This window comes from Homo sapiens, chromosome 14 (assembly GCF_000001405.40).
Source record: "Homo sapiens chromosome 14, GRCh38.p14 Primary Assembly".
Taxonomy (NCBI): domain Eukaryota; kingdom Metazoa; phylum Chordata; class Mammalia; order Primates; family Hominidae; genus Homo; species Homo sapiens.
In genome coordinates this window covers 39,397,684-39,410,592 of record NC_000014.9, presented here as the reverse complement: position 1 = coordinate 39,410,592, position 12,909 = coordinate 39,397,684, and the positions used below count along the sequence as shown (strand labels likewise).

The 12,909-nt window shown below is 36.9% G+C and overlaps 1 protein-coding gene across 1 annotated transcript in view; it reads left to right on the top strand.

Annotated features, from left to right (window-relative positions):
- Window positions 1-12,909, top strand: part of FBXO33 (F-box protein 33) — a 34,750-nt gene extending 21,841 nt beyond the window's left edge. The window contains exons 2-4 of the mRNA NM_203301.4: window positions 8,082-8,192; window positions 8,732-9,417; window positions 10,806-12,909. Coding sequence (NP_976046.1) covers window positions 8,082-8,192; window positions 8,732-9,417; window positions 10,806-11,077 — 1,069 coding nt within the window. The 3' untranslated portion in view covers window positions 11,078-12,909. The remainder of the gene's footprint in view (window positions 1-8,081; window positions 8,193-8,731; window positions 9,418-10,805) is intronic.

Sequence of the window (12,909 nt, the reverse complement as noted above, 5' to 3'; positions counted from 1 at the left end):
CTTCTTCAACTCTTCGAAAAAGTTGAGGAAGAGGGAACGCTTCTAAACTCATTTTATGTGACTAGCACTACTGTGATACCAAAGCCAGACAAGGACACTAACAATAAAACTATAGGTCAGTGTCTCTGATAAACATAGATACCAAAATCCTCAACAAATAGCAAACTAAATTTGACAGCACATTAAAAGGATCGTATATCCTAAATGGGATTTATCCCTGGGGTGCAGGCATGGTTCACCATATGCACATCAATAAATATACTACGCCACATTGTAACAGAATGGATAAAAATCTTGACCATGTCAATAGATGCAGAAAAAGCATTTGACAAAATTCAACATTCTTTCATGATATAGCACTCAAAAAATTAACCATAGGAGGAATGTACCTCAACATACTAAAGTCCATATATGGCCATGTATGACAAGCCCACAGCTTAATATCATACTCAATAGTGAAAAACCGGAACCGTTTCCTCTAAGATCAGAAACAAGATATGGATGCCTGCTCTTGCCACTTCTATTCAACAAAGTATTGGAAGCTCTAGCCGGAGCAATTAGGGAAGAAAAATAAAAGCATCCAAATCTGAAAAGAAAAACTAAAATTGTCTGCAGATGACATGGCATTATATATAGAAAACACTAAAGACACCACCAAAAAAAAAACTCTTAATAAATTCAGCAAGGTTGGTGGATGCAAAACCAACATACAAAAATCAGTTGCAGTTCTATATATTCAACGGGAAATTAAGAAAATCCCATTGACAGTAACATCAAAAAGAACAAAATATTTAGGGAATAAACTTAGCCAAAGAGGTGAAAGTCTTCTGTTTTACTGATAAAAGAAATTAAAGCAGATACAAATAAATGGAAAAACATCTCATGTTCATGACTGGAAGAAATAGTATTGTTAACATCTCCATACTACCCAAAGCAGTCTACAGATTCAATGCAATCTCTATTAAAATCTCAATGGCATGTTTTACAGAAATAGAAAAACAACCCTAAAATTAATATGGAACAACATAAGACCCTGAATAGCCAGAGCAGTCTTGAAAAAGAACAAAGCTGGAGGCATCATACTTCCTAATTTCAAAATATATTACAAAGCTGCAGTAATCAAAACAGTATTGTGCTAGCATAAAGATGGATGTATAGACCAGTGGAGCAGAAGAGAGACCCCATAAATAAACCCACTCATTTATGATTAACTGATCTTTGGTACCAAGAACATAAAATGGGGAAAGGATAGTCTCTTCAACAAATGGTGTTGTGTAAACTGAAAATCCACAGGCAAAAGAAGGAAATTGGATCCTATCGTAGACCATGGCCAGAAATCAAAGCAAAATAGATTTAAGACTTAAATATAAATTCTGAAACTGTAAAACTTCTCACAGAAAACATAGGGGGAAAGCTTCTTGGCATTGGTCTTGGTAATGACTTTGTGGTTTGACACCAAAAACAAAGGCAACAGAACCAAAAATAGGCAAGTGGGACATCGTAATAAAAGCTCTGTACAGAAAAGGAAACAATCAGCAAAATTAAAAAGCAAGCTGAAGAGGCCGAGGCAGGCAGATTCCTTGAGCCCAGGAGCTCGAGACCAGCCTGGACAACATGATAAAACCCCATCTGTACAAAAAAATACAAAAAGTAGCTGGGTGTGGTAGCATGCATGTGTAGTCCCAGCTGCTTGGGAGGCCCAGGTGGGAGGATCCATTGAGCCCAGGAGATCAAGGCTACAGTAAGCCATGATTACACCACTGCATTCCATGCTGGGAAACAGCAGGACCCTGTCTAAAAGAAAAAAAATGTGAGATAAAAGTAAGGAGGCTGAGGCAGGTAGATCACTTGAGGTCAGGAGTTCAAGACCAGCCTGGCCAACATGGTGAAACCTGTATCTACTGAAAAAAAAAAAAAATAGGCATGGTGGTGCACACTTGTAATCCCAGCTACTTGGGAGGCTGAGGCAGGAGAATTGCTTGAATCTGGGAGCCAGAGGTTGCAGTGAGCCGAGATGGTGCTATTGCACTCCAGCCTGGACCACAGAGTGAGACTCTGTGTCCAAAAAACAAAGAGAAATGGAAGTTAAATATTAGCAAACCATCTATCAAGGTAAAAGGTTAATATCCAAAATATGGTAACTCGTATAACTCAATAGCAAAATAACAAATTTAACCTAATTTTAAAACAAGCAAAAGACTAATAGACATTTCTCCAAAGAAGACATACAAATGGCCTCCAGGCATATGGCAAGATGCTGAGTTTCATTAATCATGGAAATGCAGATCAAAACCACAGTGAGATATCAACTCACATCTTAGCATGTCTATTATCAAAAATAAATTTAAGGTCAGGCATGGTGGCTCACGCCTGTAATTCCAACACTTTGGGAGGCTGAGATGGGCAGATTGGTTGAGTCCAGGAGTTCAAGACCAGCCTGGCCAACATGCTGAAACCCTGTCTCTACTAAAAAATACAAAAAAAGTTAGCCAGGCATGGTGGCGCACACCTGTAGTCCCAGCTGCTCAGGAGGCTGAGGTGAGAGAATCGCCTGAGCCTGGGAAGTTGAGGCTGCAGTGAGCCTAGATGGTGCCCTGCACTCCAGCCTTGGCAACGAGAGTGAGACCGTCTCTAAATAAATAGACATTTGTGAGGATGTAGAAAAATTGGAGCTTTTATACAACTGTTTGTGGGAATGTAAAATGGTGCAGCCACTATGGAAAGCAGTATGGAGATTCATCAAAAATAGCACTGCCGTATGATCCAATAATGGAATATTTCTGGATATGTATACAAAAAGAGTGTAATCAGGATCTCAAAGATATCTGCACACCCATGTTCACTGCACCATTATTCACATTAGCCAATATAAGGAAACAACCCAAATGTCCATCAAAAGATGCATAAAGAAAATGTGATATAGACATGCAATGGAATAATATTAAGCCTTTAAAAAAGAGAGAAATCCTACTATATTCAACAAACTGGATGAACCCACAGGACATTATGCTACATGAAATAAGCCAGTCACAGAAGGACAAATACTACATGACTCCACTTATGTGAGGTATCTAAAATAGTCAAACTCCCAGAAGCAGAGAATAAAATGGTGATTGCTGGGGCTGTAAGGAGGGAAAAATGGAAAACTGTTAATCAATGAGTATAAAATTTCTGTTCTGCAAGATGAAAAATTTCTAGAGATCTGTTGTAAAGCATAGTACCTATTAGGATTGTGTGAGTCTGTTGATCAATTTGGGGAGAATTGACATGTTAACAGTATTGAAACTTCCAACCAACAGACATGGCATTCCATTTACTTAGATCTTGTTTGATTTATTTCAACAATGTTTTGTAGTTTTCAGTGTATAGGACTGATACTTCTGTTCAGTTTATTCCTAAATATCTTGTATTTTTGATACTACTGTAAAAAGTTGTTTTTTAAATTTTAATTTCCAAATGTTCATTGCTAGCATGTAGAAATACAATTGATTTTTATATATTGACCTTGTATCCTGTGACCTTACTAAACTTGCTAACTTTACTGAACTCATAGTTATAGTAGCTTTTTTTAGATTCCTTAGAATTTTTGTGTAAATGATCATGTAATTGGCAAATAAGGACACTTCTGCTTCTTTCTTTCCAATCCATATTCTTTTTATGGATGAATAGTTTTATGGAGTATAGTTTTAATAGCTGATTTAAGTTCTTTCCCTAAATCCTTCATCTGCCATTTCTGAGTATATTTCTGTTGATGGATTTTTCTCCTAGTTGTGAGCCGTGTTACCTTACCACTGTGTGGACTCTACTGCTTTCCAGCGGTTCTCTCTTCAGACTTGTAGTTTTGCCCAACACATGTACAAATCATTACTCAGCCAAAAACCTGGGTAATATGAAGTCTTTGCAAATCTGTGAAGCTCTTTCTGTACAGTTTGTCTCTGGTACTCTGCCCTAAAATTCTAGACTGCAAACTCCCCAAAATCTCTTGTCTCCTCGATTCAGGGAGACTACCAGGCTATGTTGTAACCTGAAAACTCTCTCCAGACCATAATCGGAGGCAATTTATAATACACACCTCATTTTTTCCCCATCTTTCAGGATCACAGTCCTATATTGCTTATTGTCCAATGTCTGAAAACAATTATTTTGTTTTCTCTAGTTTTATAGTTGTTTACAGAGGGAAGGCCGTTGTCCTTAGTGTTTCTTTGTAGAAGAAGTAAAAGTCTCTTACATGTGTATTTTAATACCACCAAATAAATGAAAGTTGAGTTGAAAGGAGAAAAATACTGAGACTGTATGACTGTCCCCTCTGAGTATTATTAGAAATTGTGTGACATATTTTTTCTACTTTATATAATACCTTATATTCTCCAAAGCCAAATATCCATTCTTTTAGAAGCCTTTAATTTTTTTTATTTTTCTTTTTAAGAAAACTTATGGAAAACAAATTAACGTCTTTATAATTTATGGATATGGTAGCAACTTTAGAATAAAGAAAGGATAAAAACCTTAAAAGCAGACATACTTATATATGTTAGTAATGTATTCTTTGGAGTCTAATATGGAAGCCATTCTCACAAGAACAGTTTTATATCCTTTCTGTAACAGAAAAAAATACGGTTTTTTTGTTCGATGTCTCCTTGAAATGTTTTTTAAAATACAGTTTAGAATCACATGTCAAGTTGATTAGATTTACCAGAGTGACTAAAACTTTTTAAAGGTCAAGAAAAATTAGATTATTTCCATTAGTAATTCCTGTGATGTTTTCCTTGACATGTTCTACATTGGCTGTTTTATAACCTTTTCCTATTTACTACTTGGATTCTTCATATTTTTCTTATGTGGGGTGATTTTATATATGAATTTTTTAAAATGTAGCATTTGTTACACATTTTTCTCACAATGTTGGTTTGCCCTTTTTAGTGAGGTATGCTGTTGGATATCAAGTTTTTCATTTTTATATAGTCAAAAATGTATCACTTCCTAATTTATTGCTATTCTAAGATTAGGAAGACTTGACTATCTTAAAAGCACCTCAGGTTCAACATGTGCAAAATAGTGCTCATTGTTTACTTCACCACCATGCCTCCACACCCCCCCAAAAAATTCCCTGATTTTCATTTCTAATATTCCCTATCCCAGTAAGAAAGAAACTGTACCATGTTAACACAACCCAGAAAATTTAGGAGTTATTCTTGCCTACTGTCCCCTCACCCCCTATAGCTAATCCAGCACCTATTCCTGTCCATTTTACCTCTGATATGTAGCTTGAGGCTGTCCATTTTCTCTACATTGACCAACAAAACTCCAGTTCAAGGTGCCAGTATCTCTCATCTCTATTACTAAAATACTTTCTTAACTCATCTCCCCACTTTGGTTCTGGCATCCTTCCAGACTCTTCTAATGCCACAGTAACATTTTCTAGACAGAAATTTAATCATTTTATTCCTTTTTTTTTTTTTTTTTTGAGACAGAATCACACGCAATGGCGTGATCTCGGCTCACTGCAACCTCCCATCTCCCAGGTTCACGCGATTCTCCTGCCTTAGCCTCCCAAGTAGCTGGAATTACAGGAGCACACCACCACACCTGGCTAATTTTTTGTATTTTTATTAGACATGGGGTTTCACTATGTTGGCCGGACTGGTCTCGAACTCCTGACCTCGTGATCCACCCACCTCAGCCTCCCAAAGTGCTGGGATTACAGGTGTGAGCCACCGCGCCCAGCCTATTCTTTTCTTAAAATGATTGTTGAGCAGCTTACAAAATTTTTTCTTTGACATAGAACCCTGTCTACCTCTACGTCATCATTTCATGTTCACTTACTCTCTGTACTCCAGTCACTCTGGATTCTTTTCAGCTCGCTTTGATCTCTTCAAGTGCTGCAAATGCTTTTCCTTTTCCCTATAATGCTGTCTCCCTACCTTACTTCTCCTGGTTAACTTCCACTTATTCTTAAGATCCATTTAAAGCCGGGCACGGTGGCTCACGCCTGTAATCCCAGCACTTTGGGAGGCCAAGGCGGGTGGATCACGAGGTCAGGAGATCGACACCATCCTGGCTAACACGGTGAAACCCCATCTCTACTAAAAATACAAAAAATTAGCTGGGCATGGTGGCGGGCGCCTGTAGTCCCAGCTACTCGGGAGGCTGAGGCAGGAGAATGGCATGAACCCGGGAGGCGGAGCTTGCAGTGAACCGAGATCGTGCCACTGCACTCCAGCTTGGGCGACAGAGCGAGACTCCATCTCAAACAAACAAAAAAAAAGATCCATTTAAATCAATTTAGGGACGCCTGCTCTCCCTTACAGTGTCAAATATGCCCATGATATGTAGCACCATGTACTTGTCCTTCACAGCACTGAATCACTATTGTGTCTCTAGTATATAGCACAGTTCCTGGTACTTCGTAGGCCCTCAGGGAATTGTTGGTTAAATGAATAAACGAATTAATGATTATTCCTCAAGCTAAATTTTAGAATCATTGGGCTTTTCCGTGAAATTAAGGTGATTTACTTGAGAAAATGTGACATACCATCAAGAAATGGTGTTTTTCAGGCCAGACATGGTGGCTCATACTTGTAATCTCAGCACTTTGAGAGTCCAACAAATACAAAATATTTAAAATTATCCACATATGGTGGCACATGCCTGTGGTCCCAGCTACTCAGGAGGCTGAGCTGGAAGGATCACTTAAGCCCAGGAGGTTGAGGCTGCAGTGAGCCGTGATCATACCACTGCGCTCCAACCTGAACAACAGAGTGAGACACTGTGTCCAAAAAAAAAAAAAAAGAAATGGTATTTTTCATTTATTTAAATCTTGTATCACTGTTGTAGATGATACATTTTTTAATTGAAATTATCCCTAAGTTTTATGTTATAAATGAAATATCTAGTTCGTTATTATTGGACTTAGGAGTTTTCTCTTCATCCAGTTTTCTCCTATTTTATTTACAATTTTACTATCAGAAAACTATATGTTTTGTAGCTAAAATTATCTAAAACCAAAAGATTTTAACATAGTTTTCTAGTTTTCTTAGGTAGAGTCTGTCTCCCAGGCTGGAGTGCAGTGGCATGATCTTGGCTCACTGCAACCTCCGCCTCCCAGTTCAGCTGGGATTCCAGGCATGTACCACCACGCCCAGCCAATTTTTGTATTTTCATTAGAGACAAGGTCTTGCCATGTTGGCCAGGCTGGTCTCGAACTCCCGACCTCAAGCGATTCCCCCCGCCTTGGTCTCCCAAAGTGCCAGGACCACAGGTGTGAGCCACCGCACCTGGCCTTACATAGTTTTCTACTTCTGTTGTTCATAAGCTGTATGGTTTGATCATAAAACTGGAGAAGGTTCTCTTTAGATTTCAGTTAAGGAATATTTCTTAACTGAGTAGATATCTTCAGGGCAGTGACTTACCCTGGAGCATTTAACATGTTGACTAAATTAACTGGTTTGAGACATGTTTATATTGTAATTATCATCTCTATAAAATTTAGAGCTTACATAGTTTGTCATATATCATTGTGTCATTTATCCTTAAACCCTATAAGGTAGGTATTGTTATTACTGATGAAGAATTGAGTCTCACGCACATTAAGAGACTTTTCCATGGTCATTATAAATTTAGTTCCTGAACCAATCTTTATACCCTGGTCCTTGTTCTTTAAAGCTTATGCCACTTCTCCTGTATCATGTTGCTTTGTATGTATAAAGAAATCTGAACCCCATCTCTACTAAAAATACAAAAAAATTAGCCGGGCATGGTGGCGGGCGCCTGTAGTCCCAGCTAGTCGGGAGGCTGAGGCAGGAGAATGGTGTGAACCCGGGAGGCGGAGCCTGCAGTGAACCGGGATCGCGCTACTGCCCTCCAGCCTGGGTGACAGAGCAAGACTCCGTCTCAAAAAAAAAAAAAAAAAAAAAAATCTGAATATATGTATAAAGCAATCTGAAAGTACTTAACTGGATTCTAATTGAGTTATAAAATAGAAACCTTCCTAGAATATCCCCTTTGCATATTCTTATTTTTTATATTTATATTTTTTAAGTATAAATTATTTAGCAAATCATTTTAAATGATTGTTCTTGTAGGAACCTTCAGAAGTTTAGTCTTTTTGGAGACATAAGTGTTCTACAACAGCAAGGAAGTTTGTCAAATACATACCTCAGCAAGGTGGACCCTGATGGCAAAAAAATTAAACAGTAAGTTATATGGTTAATGGAAAGGAGGTTGTACTATTAATAATATGTTTTTCCTAAGAAATTATGAGATACAAACAGAAGAGTAATGATTTTTTTCCTAAAAGGAACATAGGTCCTGGAAATGTTTTAATGGTGAAATACAGTGATCAGCATCTGCCATTCCATCTCATAAATCTTTAAGAAAAATCAAGTAACTTAGTGGATAATTATTGCTATTTAAAATTATTCCTCTACTTGCCTTTGCTATAACATAAATTGTATGTTATCCTACTTTTCTACTAAACGGGTATAAGTGGTGCTTTTCTTGGATGAGGAACATATTTCTACGTGTTTAATAGATCTTTATGTTTAATATACCTTATTCATTATATTTTAATGTGAATTTTAATGGTATTTACTGTGGGTTGAATCGAAATTACCTAATGAGGAAAAATAGATCTCAAAATTGCATGCTTTTCATTGCCTATTTTCAAAAGTCAGTGTTAAAAGATTAGAACTAAATGTTAATGGGATCACTGTGGCATGTGTTTTCCTTATAGAATTCAGCAACTGTTTGAAGAAATCCTGAGTAATAGTAGGCAACTGAAATGGCTGTCCTGTGGGTTTATGCTGGAAATAGTAACCCCAACATCACTGTCATCTCTCTCTAATGCTGTTGCCAACACCATGGAGCACCTCAGTTTACTGGACAATAATATTCCTGGTAACAGCACTCTTATTACTGCAGTTGAACTGGAGCGATTTGTGAATCTGCACTCACTTGCCTTGGATTTTTGTGACTTTACAGCTGAGATGGCAAGAGTCTTAACTGATAGCAACCATGTGCCTTTGCAACGACTGTCTCTTCTGGTTCACAATGTTTCTGTAATGCACAAGTCTCTGGACAACATGCCAAATGATGAGCATTGGAAAGCCCTGTCACGAAAGAGCACCAGCTTTCGGGTCTATATAATGGCTTTTGATATCAAGAGTGAAGATATGTTAAAGATTCTGAAACCCAGTATACCACTAGAGAGGATTCATTTTGATAGCTATATCACTTGTGTTTCAGGGGCTATTGTTGATCTTATATCCAGGCAATATGACAAGTTCCTCACTCATTTTATTTTAATGAATGATGTGATTGACACATCTGGTTTTCCAGATCTTAGTGACAACCGAAATGAAGATCCGTTGGTTTTATTAGCATGGAGGTGCACAAAGCTCTCTCTTCTGGCAATTCATGGTAGGTGATCTTGTTCATTGTAATCTGATACTGGAATTAGACCGAAAACATTTTCTGCCAGTAAAGAGATAGCACTGACCTTTATAGTATCAAGAAATCTTGTATCAAGTTGATATACAGATTCTTATGCTTTTTAAAGTTTGCAAGATATATCACTTACAAAAGGAAAATCATATTCAAACCCAAGTGTTCTGCTCCAGCTTCCCTGTTACTTTTTTGTCCATCATGTGAATGGCAGTATTTCATAAAAAATCAGTGAAATTAATTTAGCTAAGAAAGCACACATACCTGTGGTAGATATATTTCCTCTAATCACACGACCCCTTAAAACATAGTGCGGGGGAAGAGAATGTATGATTTCTTTCATGCTCACTACCTCATCTTTTAGATTCTTGGTATCAAAGTATTAATGTATATAATTTTTTTAACGATGGTTCCATTGATATGCTTCTTTCATTTTAATGTGACCTGTTCTCATTTGGATCTAGAGTTGGTATTCTGACAAATAAATTTACTTCCTTTTCGGATACTTGTAAGATAATTACAAAGTAGTCTATAAGAATGTCTTAAACTCTCTTATTAGCTATCCTACTAGCACTGTTTCATTATTTTTTTTTTAGTGTGCATTTGTATTTGGGAATGTATGCCTTGCTTTTCAAGTCTTGCTTTATGCCAGTCATCAGAGGTAGCAGAAAAGACTAGATCAATACTGAAAGTGCTAAACACAATGGGCTAAAGACATATCAGGTTATTTAAAAGTTAATTTAAGCCAGTCTTTTTAAAGCCTTTTTCTTCTTTATGCTAAAGCTCCCCGTATTCATTCCTCTTTATTCCTTCCCAGAAGTAGTTATTATTCTGAAGTTGGTGCATATCATTCACATGATTGTTTTATAATTTACGTATTTGCTACTGACAATTAACAGTTTACCTTTAAAGTGTCACTACATAACTTCGCAAAGCATTATAGGAGATGATTTTTCACAAATGAAAAATACATTTACCACGTGTGGTTAACAGATACATGCATATATGAACTAAAAATTTCATCCTTATGGTACATCTTTACCCAAAGCTATAAAATTTATTTGTATATACTTTAAATGTCTATTTTACTGAATGAAGTAGTGTCATAAAGGATTAGATCACCTGCCAATTCACCACCTATAGCGGTAACTCTTGAACACAACTTCTAGCCTTTTTTTTTCTGGGCTATACAACCATGTTTCCTTTTCCAATTTCAATATATTTCTAAAGGAAAAAGACCAAAACGGTAAGTGAGATACAAATTTGAAGCTTCTCTAGAAGCTTTGAATGAGGAAAAGACAGACTTACCAAAGAGAAAAGGAAATGCAAGGAAATTACAGTGTTGTCTTTTGTTTATTTTTCAGGTTACACGGTGTGGGCACACAACCTCATTGCCATTGCTCGTCTTCGGGGCTCTGATCTGAAAGTGCTTGAAGTCACCGAAGAAAGCATTGATTTTGACCAAGGTGAACTGGCCGACCAGGATGTAGATCCAGTGCATAACCTTATTGAGCAGGTATCCCTGGGCCTGGGTCAACCTTGGCATGCAGTCATGGACATCGAATCACTCAGTGTCTTCACTGAACCAAATCGTCATTTTTACAGAGAGATGCAAAGCTTCAGTGAAGACATTTAGCTTTTTTTTAATGTAGAATTCCTGTGGTTACATATGCAAGTAGGGTCCTATTATGTTTTTTTTTCAGTAGTGTGAATTAATCCTTTTGTGCTGTGTTTAATCAGTATTAGCTTTATAGAATTATATATGTATATTCTACTTCTTGATCAAAGAACGTAGTCGGGTATTGGTTTAGAAGTTCAAAGTGACAATGTATAGGGCTTTCACGGTTAATGGACTTGTTACCAAACCTTAAGGATATACAGCCGAAGATTGTCTGAGGTTGCTGGCTAACTTTATTTTTCACTGAGTTACTCTGCCTTTTTGACGTTTTTATTCTTTGTGTGTCAGAGTTCAGAGCTCAGGAGCCAAAATATTTTTATACATATATAGATATATATCCATAGCCTGGTAGATTTATATGCAATGCACTGCATCCATGCATTCTGATAGCATTTCATTAATTTTGATTTCAAATGGAAGATAAATAATATCCCAAATGAATTATCTGTAACAGAAAAGCCAAGACTTTAACTTTCATTACATATCTAATAGTTGATATCACCAGTTACCATTTTGAATTTTGTATAGTACTAGGTTAGAACATTGCTTAATCCTTTTAAAAAAAATGCATTTACGTAAACACGAATACTGAAATTGTTGGATTTTTTAACTATATCTGACATAATTTTATTCATCAATTACATTACACATTCATTTAGCCCAGATTTCAAATAGTGGGGGAAGAAAGAAACTGTATTTCAGAGTAAAATCTCCTAAAGGAAATAAAAACACAGAGTTGTAAATACACATGCTTGCAAAAACATTAGTCGTGAAATCCCTAGCAACAAGTCACTGGATTTTTCTCTGTCAGCACGCGTGTCAGCTGCCAAAGAATAGACTTAATGAAGAAGTGCCCACATGCTGGCAGGGGCCGGCCCACTCTGGCCAGCCAGATACTGCTAGATTGTAATATTTAAGGTCGAATTTCGACCTGTGGTACACAGCTGTGCTGTGGCTCAGTCAGCAACCTCAGAACTCTGAAAAAACAAAACAAAAAAAAAAAAAAAAGAAAAAAAAAACATGCACCTGTTTCACTGTGAATAGTGAATGTAAAGGAAAGAAAGGAAAAACTGAAAGCTTGTTCTATCACAGGTATGAGCTGCTATGATACATGAAGAACATTCCATGAAGTATGTTTTAAAACCTTGTTATATCTGAGAGGCTTTAAAAGCCTATTAACTGTTTCAGGGCAACCGCGGTACAGACGTGGTCTCTGTGAGACTTCCACCTGACCCCAGTTTTAAGTGGTACGAATGTTGTGCATTTAATGTTAAAGGACAGTCTGCAATAATAAAGTAAGTAGCCAACCTGGGTGCCCAGCAGTGCTGAGACCTGGCTGCTCTATTGTAAGCTTTGGAAACACAATTTATGCAACAGATGTCCAGATATGATTCTATTTATGGAAAAAAGTTTATATGTGTTTTACAAATGGTTTTACCATCTTATATTAAAATGACCTTTTGACAGGTGTGCACTGTTTTGTCTCCAGTGAGCACATACCATGCGGATTTTATATGTACATCAGTAGTGTGAATCCACTGGCACAGTGTGTGTAAATGCCAGATGTGGTGAGATTTTATCTTATAAATGTGATCAGATAAAATAACTCCTGACAGAAACTGTAAGGAAACCAGCTGAATGTTTGACCTGATGACTGATGTTGTATGGTTTATGTTAAATGTATATTCTTTTAATCAATGAATAAAGCATTAAAAATGATCATTGTAATATATTTTATTGTATATGAAGCATGACTACTTTTAGTGTTAAATAAACTGCAATAATCCTTA